This window comes from Homo sapiens, chromosome 11 (genome assembly GCF_000001405.40).
Source record: "Homo sapiens chromosome 11, GRCh38.p14 Primary Assembly".
Taxonomy (NCBI): Eukaryota; Metazoa; Chordata; class Mammalia; order Primates; family Hominidae; genus Homo; species Homo sapiens.
Window position 1 is genome coordinate 133,833,133 of NC_000011.10, and position 13,274 is coordinate 133,846,406.

The 13,274-nt window shown below is 49.0% G+C and overlaps 1 protein-coding gene across 4 annotated transcripts, besides 1 other annotated feature; it reads right to left on the minus strand.

Annotated features, from left to right (window-relative positions):
* Positions 1-2,797: 2,797 nt before the first annotated feature.
* On the minus strand, positions 2,798-12,381 carry SPATA19 (spermatogenesis associated 19). 4 transcript variants are annotated; one of them, XR_947807.2, is made up of 8 exons: positions 12,237-12,381; positions 12,002-12,058; positions 11,377-11,508; positions 11,114-11,205; positions 9,353-9,430; positions 8,898-8,973; positions 7,578-7,791; positions 2,798-2,914 (listed from the first exon to the last, which is right to left on the minus strand). XR_947807.2 is itself a non-coding variant. In NM_001291992.2 (7 exons), exons 1-6 carry the CDS (start codon positions 12,312-12,314, stop codon positions 8,907-8,909), a joined length of 504 nt encoding a protein of 167 aa, NP_001278921.1. In that variant the 5' UTR covers positions 12,315-12,381; the 3' UTR covers positions 7,499-7,677; positions 8,898-8,906. The 4 variants fall into 4 exon arrangements, 2 of the variants coding, with proteins under 2 accessions (NP_001278921.1, NP_777587.1); XR_947806.2 differs by having other exon boundaries at positions 2,798-2,917; NM_001291992.2 differs by lacking the exon at positions 2,798-2,914 and having other exon boundaries at positions 7,499-7,677.
* Positions 9,069-9,611: an enhancer, noted in NCBI's record as "H3K4me1 hESC enhancer chr11:133712096-133712638 (GRCh37/hg19 assembly coordinates)". NCBI's record gives its function as "activates a minimal SCP1, AML or CMV promoter by ChIP-STARR-seq in naive H9 embryonic stem cells {active_cell/tissue: H9 hESC(naive)}" and the evidence as "EXISTENCE:reporter gene assay evidence [ECO:0000049][PMID:30033119]".
* Positions 12,382-13,274: the final 893 nt, after the last annotated feature.

Sequence of the window (13,274 nt, forward strand, 5' to 3'; positions counted from 1 at the left end):
GGGGTGGGGGAAGGGGTGGGGACCCCGAGCCGCCCGGTGCCCCGCTCCGGTTCCGGCTGGTTGCGGCGAAGTTTCCCAACTCGCCGAGAGCAGCTGCTGCCTTCTCTTGCGTTTGTTTTTCCCCTCTCGGGATGGAAAATGAATTTCGAGCATCGCTGCGGAGCCTGCCAAGTAATTGGAAAACATGTCGAACACTGCGTCTGGCTGCCGGGCGGAGGCGGGGTGGCCTCCCCGGTCGAGGTTCCCGGTCCCTCAGGGCAGGGTGGTGCCGCGCCCTCCCCAGGCCGGCCCGCGAAGGGAGAAGCCGCAGAAGCCTCTGGGCGTCGGGCCGGGGGTCCCTCGGGCCCGTGGATGACGTGGGTCAGTGGCCGAGCGCTGCAAGCCGTCGCACGGTCGCCTGGTGGTGCGGGCGCCTCGCCCGCCCTGGCCGCTGAGCCCCGAGAGGGTCTGGGCTCCCGTGGGCCACCCCACTCCGCGGCCGCGCGGCGCCCTGATCGCGCGTCTCAGGCCCCGCTGGAACCCGGGGCCTCCCTGCCCGCTCCACTCCTTCCCGCGGCGCACCCCCGCCCTCCGCCTGCCCCTGCCCTGCTGGCCCCCCGCCAGGCAGCCTCTCCCGCATCGGAGACCACCCGCCCGGTTTTCATGTCCCGGTTTGGCTGGGTGTCTAAACTCCGCCTCTCGGGATGGGACAGAGCCCCACCCCACCTCGCAGTGGACACCCCAGGACAGTGGCTTGGTCTTCACAACACTGGGTGCGGTTCATGGAGCAGCACCTCGCATTGCTCCCTGCAGTGACCCACGCAGGAGGCCGCCTGCCCTGGTGGACGTGGGCACACCCTCCCTGTCTCTCTGGTGTTCCCGAGCTTGACTCTGCCTGGACGAGTCTGTCTCACATGAGACCCCCCTGTCTCTGTCCAGAATTAACAAGGTCCTATTAGGAAGTGACCTGCAAGACAGAGACAGGCCAGCACCGCACATTGCCACCCCCACCAAGCAGTCCCTTGATAGACCTCCACCTGCGGCCTCCTGGACTGGCTTCCCGCCCACCTGCCACCCCCAGCTCTCACCTCTCCCCTCAAAGGATCCATGACCACAAAGCCTTGATTAGTTCTTTCAGCTCCATTTAACTACACAAATGGCTTGGTCACAGCTGACTGGTCCCAAATTTGCCAGTGATTTTCTTTTAATTTACCGTAGCTCAGTCCCCCTGTAATACAGGTAGAGGAGGCATATTTGTTCCCAAACTCCCCTCCTGGGGTTAATCATGCACAGAACAAAACTCCATTTGAGCCACTTAATGATTTCATTTCCACCCTAGGTTTGATGGAGCTGCGGCTATAATACTAATATGGGTCCCTCTCTCCCCAAACTCCAGATGCGCGCGAGAGACAGACAGTGGGAGCCTGTGGGTGACTCAGCCATTCCTGTCCGGCTGCTGCCCTCCAGCCCCTTCTGCAAGCCGTGTGTTCCCCCTCTTTTCCTGGGCCCATCTTCTCTCCCCTGGGAAGCCAGACCTGACCAGCGTGGTGCTCTTCCATGCTTCCTCCCCCGGGTCCTCTGCCAGTTTCATGGGGTTATTTTGCACCCACCTGTCACCTCTCAGCACCTGACCCACCTCCCAGCCTCTTCTCCTGCCATTCCTCCCACCACACCCCCACCCACCATACCGGCATTCCAGACATTCAGACAGCCAGGCCCAGTTCCCTAACCCTCCTCCATCCTTGCGACATGGACTGGACTTTCCCTTTGCCTGGAGGACCTCTCCTTGGTTGTCAGAGCCTGGCGAAAGCCTCTAAAACTCTGCTTAAGCATCACTGCCTCTGGGAATCAGCTGACAATTTTTCTCTCAAGCAGAGAAAACCACTCCCTTCTGTGCTCTACCATTTATACCCTTTTGGCTTATTTTCACACAATATTTCATTATTTGTTTGCAGTCAGCCCTTCTACCCATTTGAGCTCCTTGAGAACATAACAGAACATTCACCTGGGTATCCTCACACAGCACGGGCCCAGTGCTGGGCATAAATGCTCCACAAATGTTCTTGGAAAGAATAGGTGCTATGTGGTTCAGGCAGGTGGATGTGAACTGTATTCATAACAACACGAAGACACTCAGAGGTGCTCCATCTTCAGAGGCTTCCCAAACGGTGCTAAAATCTCTACTGGCCCAGCCTGCAGGAGCTGACTCAAAGGGAAGGCCAGGTCACCGTCAGGAAATGTGGTTTTTGTGTGGAAACGTCACCATCTGGTGGTTTCTAGTGAAACAGCTTCTCAGCTGCAATAGTGGAGAGAGAGGGCTTCCTCCCTTTGCTTGCTTCCCAGGGCCACTAAGTTCAGAGAAAGGTGCTCCCTGCAGCAGCACCATGGGCTCTGGCAAGCCAAGCACCGCTCCCTGCCTTCCCAAGAAACCTGAGTGAGCGTTTGGAAGGGCACAGCCCCCTCAGGGCTCTGAGGAAGGCCGGCTTACCTCCTCTCCACCCCTCTCCTCCGCTGACATCCAGGCTGCAGCTATTCTCGAGCAGGCAGGACCCCCTTTCCAGCAGCCTGGGCTTGTGCCACTTCTCTGCCTTCAGTGTTCTCCAAGCTTCCCCTGGACCCAGGCCCTGTGTGTCCATCACCACTGGGATATCTGATGGGGACCCAGACTCAGGACCCAAGTTGAACTGATTTCCTCAACTTAGGCCCACCTACCTGAGCTAATGGCAGCACCATCCCCCAACTGTGCCCCCAGGACCTTTCTTCTCCCCCACTCCAGGAGCCATGTATCGCCAGATCGCCGCTCCCATCTCACACGAACCTGCCACTGCCCAGTGGATCCTTCCTGGGCTCTCTGCCGCCGTCCTTTGGCACAGCCTGTCTCCACGTGTAAAATCACTTCCTGCTTTAACATTCCTGCACATCCTGTTTCCTGTCTCTGCTGGGATAAGGCAGGATCCTTAACCAGGTCTCCACTTGCCACATGGCCCAACCGGCCTCTTGACAGCCTCCCCCATGCCCCCTCTCACTCCCTCTCTCCCATCTAGCCAGAATAGGTTTTTGGTGTGTCCATGAAGCCAGACTTCTCTCCCCTCTCAGAGCCCTCTCACTTGCTGCTGCCCAGGGCTGGCTGCTCTCCTGCCCCTCTGCCTGGTTACCTCCTACTCATCCTCTACTCCCTCGCCCTACCTTACTGGAGCATGCAGGCAAAGGGAGGCTGGGAGGGAAAGGTGGTGGGGAGAGAAAGTCCAGGTGTCCTGGCCCCTAGGAAGAGTGGGGCAGGGGAGGAACCTTAGCCTCTCTCCCTTCCTTGTGCAGTGTCTGGCAGGTAAAGCTCACCACCAACAACAACCGAATTGATCCTTCACCCAGCTCTGCTGGAGAGGGCAGGGGTTAAGGACACTGGCTCTGGCATGAGACCATTTGGATTCAAACTCTGGCTATGCCATTTCATGGCTGGATGACATCAGGAAAGCTATTTAGCCTCTCTGGACTGACTGTCCCTCATCTGTAAAATGGGGATGACGATTTTAAAATAGAAATCTAGGTTCTCTTCTCTGAGTAAGGCAAGTTCCCATTATATGTAAGACTTCACCTTTCAAGTAGTTATGAAAATTGTGACTCACAACTAATGAGTTTGTGTAAAATTCATCTGCCTCATCAAAATGAAAGTTCTACCAGGGCAGGGACCAGGTGGGTCTTATTTATTGCTGTATTCCCAGGGCTGGTCTGGGGTGCACACACAGCATAACAAAGTGGTCAAGAAAGCCAGGCTGGGGTTCTAGCACTCTCCAGTCACCAAAGTGACTCTGGTCAAGGTACTTAACCTACGTGTTGTGTTATCTCCTCTCTAATAATAATACTAATATCTATGCCAAAGCCTGCTTGGCTTAGTGCTTGGATACATTTCAAGTCCTTGGATAGGACCAGGCATATAGAAAGTGCTCAGCGAACATCAGTGGTCATTCTCGTGGACACTCAATAAATACTTCAATAAGACTTCCGGGTTCTAGTTTGATATTTAAAGAGCTTGGAAGTCATCACTCTCATCCTAACAATAAGAACTGAATAAATTGAAAATCAACAACTCTTCTTAAATCCCTCAGAGAACTGAGCTCAGAAGGCAAACCACTGACCTGAAGACTGGAAAGGCAGAAAGTTGGATACAGAGACTCACAACTTACTGGACAGAAGACCAGGCACACAAAATTCCACAGGAAACAGTGCTGGGCAGGAAAACCTAAACTACCTAAACTGTAACTGACAAATTGCTGGAGGCTAAGTGTGGACAATGTTGACTATTAAAAAGTCCAGGGCCCAGTCATTGGGGGGATCCCCACACTTTCATGAGTTTTGCCTTTAGGAGCTCTACTAGCTCCTCACAATGAAAAGAGAAGGGGAAAGTAGCCATTTTTAAATATGTCCAGAGCATTCTGTTCTCCTTAACAAGAGCCCACCCTCAAGGGAAACTATTTTGCCAGGGCCAAGCCAGCCTGGGAGAAGGGGAATACCCAACTCCAGACCCTCCCCTCTAGCCTTCCTGTCTTTCCTAAGGTCAATGAGGGGGGAAGCTGAGAATCACACAGAAAGGTCACAGCCCAGAGGGAAAGGCTCACTAAACACTGAGAACTAATCTTGCAAATATAGAACACTTCCCCTCCCACGCACTTATCACCACAATATAGGCTTCCCATATTGTGTTAAATTATTATATAATTATGTAATCCCTGGTTATATAATAACGGGATTACAGCAGAAATAACTGTAAACCTCAGACTCTATTTAAGAAGGAGCCTCTAGGGACACTCAAAGACAACAAGAAAGACAAAGACAAGGATGCCAGAGGAAACCTTAACCTCTGACATGCTACAAAACCATAAACACAGCCTCCCAGCCAGGTAAACATACAGCCTCACACTAATGGCCTATTTACCGCAGCTCCTTTTCCTGATAAATCATGTCCTGCTTTCCCCAAAATAATTACAAAGCTTGCTAAAAATATATATACATAGCTTTATGAGACAAAGCAAGTATAGAAACCAGTCAGATATGTTGGAATTATTAGACTGGGAATTTAAAACAGCTATGAAAAATATGCTAAGGGCTCTAATGGGGAAAGTGGACAACACGCAAGAACAGATGGGTAATGTAAACAGAGAGATGGAAACTCTAAGAAAAAAAGTCTAAAGAAAATGCCAGTAATCAAAAACACTATATAGGAATAAAGAATGTCTTTGAAGGACTCATTGGTAGACTGGACAAGGCTGAGGAAAGAATTGGAGTTTCAAGAAATGTCAGTAGACAAAAACAAGCAATGGGGAAAAGATTCCCTATTTAATAAATGGTGCTGTGAAAACTGACTAGCCATATGTAGAAAGCTGAAACTGGATCCCTTCCTTACACCTTATACAAAAATCAATTCAAGATGGATTAAAGACTTACATGTTAGATCTAAAACCATAATAACCCTAGAAGAAAACCTAGGCAATACCATTCAGGACATAGGCATGGGCAAGGACTTCATGTCTAAAACACCAAAAGCAATGGCAACAAAAGCCAAAATTGACAAATGGGATCTAATTAAACTAAAGAGCTTCTGCACAGCAAAAGAAACTACCATCAGGGTGAACAGGCAACCTACAAAATGGGAGAAAATTTTCGCAACCTACTCATCTGACAAAGGGCTAATATCCACAGTCTACAGTGAACTTAAACAAATTTACAAGAAAAAAACAAACAACCCCATCAAAAAGTGGGCAAAGGATATGAACAGACACTTCTCAAAAGAAGACATTTATGCAGCCAAAAAACACATGAAAAAATGCTCATCACCACTGGCCATCGGAGAAATGCAAATCAAAACCACAATGGGATACCATCTCACACCAGTTAGAATGGTGATCATTAAAAAGTCAGGAAACAACAGGTGCTGGAGAGGATGTGGAGAAATAGGAACACTTTTACACTGTTAGTGGGACTGTGAACTAGTTCAACCATTGTGGAAGTCAGCGTGGCGATTCCTCAGGGATCTAGAACTAGAAATACCATTTGACCCAGCCATCCCATTACTGGGTATATACCCAAAGGATTATAAATCATGCTGCTATAAAGACACATGCACACGTATGTTTATTGCGGCACTATTCACAATAGCAAAGACTTGCAACCAACCCAAATGTCCAACAATGATAGACTGGATTAAGAAAATGAGGCACATATCCACCATGGAATACTATGCAGCCATAAAAAATGATGAGTTAATGTCCTTTGTAGGGACATGGATGAAACTGGAAACCATCTTTCTCAGCAAACTATCACAAGGACAAAAAACCAAACACCGCATGTCCTCACTCATAGGTGGGAATTGAACAATGAGAACACATGGACACAGGAAGGGGAACATCACAATCCGGGGCCTGTTGTGGGGTAGGGGAGGGGGGAGGGATAGCATTAGGAGATATACTTAATGTTAAATGACGAGTTAATGGGTGCAGCACACCAACATGGCACATGTATACATATGTAACAAACCTGCAAGTTGTGCACATGTACCCTAAAACTTAAAGTGTAATAATAATTAAAAAATTTAAAAAAAAGAAATGTCAGTAGAATCTACCCAAACTGAAACACAAAGAGAAAAAGAAAAGAGTGGAAAAAAGTGAAACATTTTCCAAAAACTGTGGGACAATCTCAAAAGGTGTCACATATGTGTAACGGGAAGACAAGAAGGAGAATAAAAAGAGAGAAGAATACCCGCAAAAAAGAGTTTGATTAGTAGTTGAGAATTTTCCAAAATTAATGACAGACACCAAACAACAGATCCTGGAATCTCAGAGAACACCAAGCAAGATAAATGCAAAAAATAATAATAATAATAACAATAATAACTATACCTAGTCATATCACATTCAAACTGCAGAAAATCAAAGACAAAATTTCTTGAAAGGGAAAACACCTTATCTATAGAGGAACAAGGATAGAAATTATATCCAGCTTCTCCTCGGTTACCGTACAAGCAAGATGAGAGTGGAGTAAAATATTTAAGTGTTGAAAGAAAAAAAGATTGTCAGCCTAGAATTCCGTATCTTGCAAAATTACCTTTCAAAAGAAGGACAAATAAAGACTCTCCAACCATCAAAAATTGAAGGAAATTGTCACTAGTACAGCTACCTTGCAAGAAACCTTAAAAGGAGTTCTTCAAAGAGAAGGAAAAGGATATAGGGCAGAAACTCAAATCTACATTAAAAAGGAAGAGAGCTAGAGAAGGAATAAGTGCAGATAACATAAATGTCTGAAACAAACCAGCACACTTCCCTCAAAAAGTTCTCCCTGCCCCAGCCACAGAGCACTCCTTCTTATGTTCCAGGAGCACCAATATCGCCATTGTCACATTGCTGGAACGGCTGCTGTCTGTCTCCCTCAAGGCTGTAAGTCATGTGTCCCCAGAGCCAGGCCTGTGAGGTACTCAGCATCTGATGAATGGACAAATGAATGGCACAGCACCCCAACCAGCAACAGGGCGGGTTGTTAAACAGCACATCTCTTTATTCGCAGTTCAGCAAGAAGACTCCAGTGCTGACACTGTCGCATGAAGAGCTCACCTGCTGGAGTCTTTCTGCCCAGGTCTGGCCCTTCTTCAGGTCAAGCAGAGAAGGATGTTCTTCTGATACAGGTTGCTGCTGGACCCTGAAGGACTTCCACCTGGGAGGTAGAGAAATGCCCAGGGGACACAGCAGGGAGATGTGGTTGGCCAAGGGGTAGGGCTGATGATGACTCCCTGTAACCCCACTGTTCTCCGCGTTCCCAAAGCTCCATCTAGAGAGCAGAAACCCATGGAAGAATCGTCAGTGGTGCATCAGGCAGCTGGAATTGAAGCCTGAGTCTGTTTCTTCCAGCTCAGAAGCCCCTGCGAACTGTGTACCCTCCCAGCACTTCCTGTTCTTCTCTAGTAATATGAGCAAACAATTGATGCGGCATTTACCATGTGCTAGACACCATCACCCCCAAGACAACCCTCCAAAGTAGATACTCTGTTGCATTGAGGAAATTGAGGCACAGTGGCATTATGTAACTTGCCCATGGTGGAGCTGAATTGGAACCCAGCATCTGCTCCCGGGCTTGACTTAAGTTCTGCCTTCTGTATAATGGGCACAACAACGCCCTCTCTTAAGGTTGTTTTTGGATCAAATGATAAACCCTGACAAACTACCTTGTGCAGAAGCTGGTATACAGTAAGTCCTTGATAAATGCCGGTACTGCTCTCCAACAGCCTTCCTGTAAGCATGCTGAGGTCGCTGTGCCTAAATCTCTCCCTTAGCCGCAGGATGGTCAGCACAGCTGTTCACCACAGGCTCAGGGACTGCATCCCGGATAGCTCTTGTGGTTGTTTATCCTGCCATTGGCCTTCCACCTCCCAGGGCCTCATAAACAGCCCCCGTGTGACCACCGGGCCAAGCACAAGGCAAGTGGCCATGGGACCAAAAGTCACATCACAAGTTGGTGGCAGGTCTAAAACCTACACAGCATCACTCCTGACACTACGATCTGTGACTCAAGGTGAGGTCAGCAGACCAGCAGTGACAATGCCCAGAAACTTTTAGAAATGCAAAATTGCAGGCTCCACCACAACCTCCTAAACACGAAAGCCCGGGCCCATGAATGATGGAGAGGCAGTGCTCTCTGACACCACAGAGTCAGGAAACCAATCAAATTTGACTTCAAGTCCTTCCACAAACTTAAGAGAGGCGTTGCGGGAGCCTAAGGCAGCCAGCCCTCCTCTCCCACTACTGGCCCTGAGTGCAGGCCCTTCCCCAGTAGGGAAAAGCTAAGCCTCTTTACCAAGTTCCCAGCTGCAGTGCCCCTTCCCACTGCCCAGGATAACCATCTTCTCTGCCCAGTTCCTCATCCGTCAGCTCTCTCACCTGTTGCTCTCAGCAGTCTGAGGAGGAGGGTCTCATACTGAAGTCCTGAGCTGAGACATCTGTAAGACGGGATATGCTGCAGGGGACAGAGGAGAAGGGCCAGGTGGAGGGAGGCTGCCTGATAGCAGAGCCTACCCAGACCACGGCACAGGGGCTGCGGTGGGAGGGCAGGCCGTGCCTAGGCCGTGGCCACACTGGGCCTGGGAGCACAGTCATATGAACAGGCCCACAGCCTGAAGCCCTTCTGTGCACTGGCAGACACCATGGGAGGCTGGCAAAGCCCTGTCATGTGGAGCACAGAAGACAAGACGCAGCCCTGGGAACTGTGTGTCTCTGCTCTTGATGTTGGCATACCAGAGATAGCATTGCTGGGTGTGGGCGGGAAACCCAGCAGTCACCCCCACCCTACCTGCCCCCAGTCAGGAACACAAATCAAGCAGTTCCAAACAGCTTACCTTCGTCTCACCTGCTCTATTCGATCTCGCATGATGTCCTCTGTCATCTCACTTGGCACTTGGAAGATACGAGTGTGGCTGCAAAAGGCCATTCGTACATTGGCATATGGGATCTGAGTTTCTTTCTTAACAGGCATAGAGAGCTGCTAGAGATGGGATCCTGCAAACAATGACTCTTGCCCTGACACCATGAACTTTTGAGCTGGTCTCTCCCCCTTCTTGACTCATGAGCACAAAGCTTTTTTTTACTAACCAGGTACCCTTGAGCCCCCAGTAATGCTGAACAGGTAGCAGACTGTCCCGGGGAGAGCCAGGGACACAGAGCTGAGTGCCCTTACTAAAGGCAGCAAGCAGTGGTCTCGTGAGCCGTGGAATTCACCCTTCTGAATTCAGTCTTCTGAATTCCTCTCCTATCATCAGCTCTTGATGACCTGCATCACCCCACACCCACTGTGGTTCAGAGATGCTTCTAGGAAAGCCTACAGCGAGGAAGCTGTGGGGTCCCCTGGGGAGCCTCCTTGCTTTGTTTCATAAAGGGATATATATATTTCCTGACTATATACTTACTGAAATAAGAGGGGGACACCAAAACCAGTGGGTTGTGGGGGGAGATAGGCGGAGGCTTTTGGTTTAAAATCTTTGTAGAAAATCCAGAGTGGAAAAATTATATGTAAATAATTGACTGATTCCTGTAGCCTGTCTGAAAAGCTTAAAACTAGTTTTTTTATACAGACGAGATTTTTAAAATATTGGAAGATGATGTGTGTGTTATCCAAACCAAGGAGCACAATGTCCGCAATTCCATAGCACAACCACGTCAGGCACAGAAAAGCCTGGATTATAATCAACAACATTTATGATTTTAGGGGCCTCAGAAGGCTTCCCATCCAAAAAAACTCTTTCCCAGGGAGCTCTCAGATCCCACCATGTTATTCCTTTTGGTTATGAAATTACTGTGCATTTGAGTCTTCCTAAAAGGCAGATGCCACTAGAAGGGGTAAGCACATGGAAACCGTTTCTTGAGAAATGGAGCCTCCTTGATACAACAGATCAACATCGATGATGCGGCAGGGAAAGGAGGAAGAGAGGAGGAAGGGGAGAAGTCTCCTTCAGGTTCCCGTAGGACCAGTCTAAGCCCTCAGTCCCTCTCCTGGGAAGGGGTGGCTGATGTGCTCCAGAGACCCCCAGTGAACACAGGTGCAGGAAAGGAAATAGGAAAGCCTCTGTCTGAAGCATGATGGCTTCAGGCCAGCTCCCTGGGCCTCGGGGCTCAGCATCTGCAGAGCCACGAGAGGCAGTGGGGACGGCTGTGAGCTGGCAGGCACCCGGGACGCTGGCGAAGCCACCATAACCGAGTGCAGAATTCTAGCCTCGGGCGCTGGGAAGCCTCCCCACACCTCAGTTGCAGATGAAAACTTTGGCTTTTGCATTTTAAGAGCTTATTTTCTTTTAGCTCTTTAAAGTGCAGCCACTTCTGAGCAACTCAAGTGCAAAAATAACAGAAATCTGAAATGTATTCAGAAGCATTTAAGAAATGGAGTGCAAGCCCAGTTTTCCAACCCCTCAAGTCATTTAAAAATGTAGAAATGAGCTGGGCTTTCAAGATAGCAAGGATATTCCCTTAAGACCCCAAAGCAAGGCTGAGGAATTTGTCAGCCAAAGACGACATCTCTAGAGAAGAGCATCTGAGGGTTCGTGAAGAGAGGGGCTTGCGCATCTCTCCCTCCCCTTCCTTCGCCCAGGGCAAGTGGGACACCTTACCTCCATCTTATGAACTGGATTCGTGTTCTCTCCTCTAGGACCTCTTGGCTCTGGTTTGCCAACAAATCAGACTTAGAGAGGTGGTGCTTCACCTGGGAAATCCAGAGGGTCCATGTGATTCCTGCCCAGTGTGGCCCCCAACTGGGCTGGCACAGAGCCCAGACGAGCACCTCACCCTTGCCCAGAATCATTTACGGTGCACCTCCCACCTCTCCCCTCTCCCTCACCGCTACTCCCAGGCAAGGTCTCAAACTCTCATTTACCACATCTCTGGTCACGTGGATGTCCTGGCCATGGGTGGGAGGGGAGTCAGTGGACATCTTCTCCCTTACACCCTGGGAAGGGTGGTTGATGGACAGCTTTTCCTTTATGCCCCGAGAAGCCTCTTCTTCTGTCTGAAAGGTGAGAAATTCCCTCTGAAAATGTCACTCTGCATCCAACCCTGGGTCTTCTTCTCCTCTTCCTTTCCTTTTATTCATTCTCCATCACAACTCACACACCACATATTCACACACATACACTCCTTACCTCACTGTTCCCACAATAAGCTACTTCCCTGTAAAGTCCTCAGAACTCCCTAAGTCCCTGGCCCTATCCCAAGGTGTTCCTGAGACACCCTTGAGCTGGGAAGGATGCAGCTGAAACCCTTAAGCCAGGATGCTTGAGAAGCAGGACGGCGTTAGTGGTGGTGCTAACACATTTCCTGCCAGGACACAAGCCACAGTGTCCTCCAGCACATGTGAAGAAATTAGACTCAAATCTAGGAAGGGTGTCTGGCAATGAACTTGAGTTCCAGTTCCATGAAGAAGGAAGTCCAGATCCCCACACCCACTGAGACCACTTCTCTAGCATTTTGGATATCCTGAGTCATAAAGAAATCTTACTCACTTTTTTCAACCAATGATGTAGTACAGACACAGCCTCACTTTCCACAACGTCAATGTCCTGGAACAAATTGGCAAGTTGGTGACCTCAGAAAACCTAGAAATTCAGCTCTTCCCACCCAGCCCCCGCAACTGTTACTCAAATTTATTTGTAAGATCTCTATGAAGTGCAGCAGGGTCCCACAGGGGGAGAAGATATATGAAAAATTATTCCATGTGACTACCACCAAGCTGCTTACCGAACTGGTTATTGGTAGGAAGGGAAGCCCTACACCTTTCCGAGCAAGAATATACACAATCCATGTCGTAATTATCATCTTTGAATGTATACCAGGCCCCCTTCTTGGCTCCCTCCTTCCATTGAAGCTGCCTGAGAACTCCTATGGGACAGGAAGGTCATTGAAGGGAGGTGTCCACCTGATTGGCTGACCCATGGTGATGTGACAATGGCCTCCCTTTGAAAATGATGTATGTGAGTATAAATGCCGTTGCCAAGAGCCCCTGCATTTCAGGCTCTGGGTGCACTCCTATGAGTTACCCTGCTTCAAGGAGCAGAACCATTGAATAAAAGATTGCTGTCTAACACCATTGGCTGACCCTTGAATTCTTTTCTTGGGAAAGCACTAATTTGGGAGCTCACCTCCAGGCAGGAGGATGGGGTCTGGAGCCAGGAAACCTAAGGCCGATTTACACTGACTTCCTAGAACTAAATCAAAAGGAAAACCCCAACTTTCCGTGCCCAAGTAACAAAAAGACCAGAGGCTACGCCCTTTGCAACCCTCTCCTTTTCTGCATGGCAGATGAAAAACTGAAAGTATCTCTGATTGCTCCCCTCCCACAATCAGGCTGGTTGTGGGCCAGGTCTTCATTTGCATAGAGATATAACTTTATAACTTCACTTCAGCCTCTGATTGGTCACTTTCCGCAACCAATCAGACTGATCATGAGCCACTACTTCATTTACATAGGGTATATACCAAGTAACCAATGGGAAACCCCTAGAGGGTATTTAAACCCCAGAAAATTCTGTAACCAGTCTGCTCCCATCCTGTGGAGTGTACTTTTATTTTCGTTAAATCTCTGCCTTTGTTACTTCATTCTTTCCTTCGTTTGTGTGTTTTGTCCATTTCTTTGTTTAAGACGCCAAGAACCTGAACACCCTCCACCAGTAACAACCTGTCCCGCAACAACTTGTCATGTGCTCTTGACCTAATCATTAGTCCCTCTGGTCTGAGTTTCTTTGTCTTATACTGAAAGGGATAGAGTTGTGTCCCTAG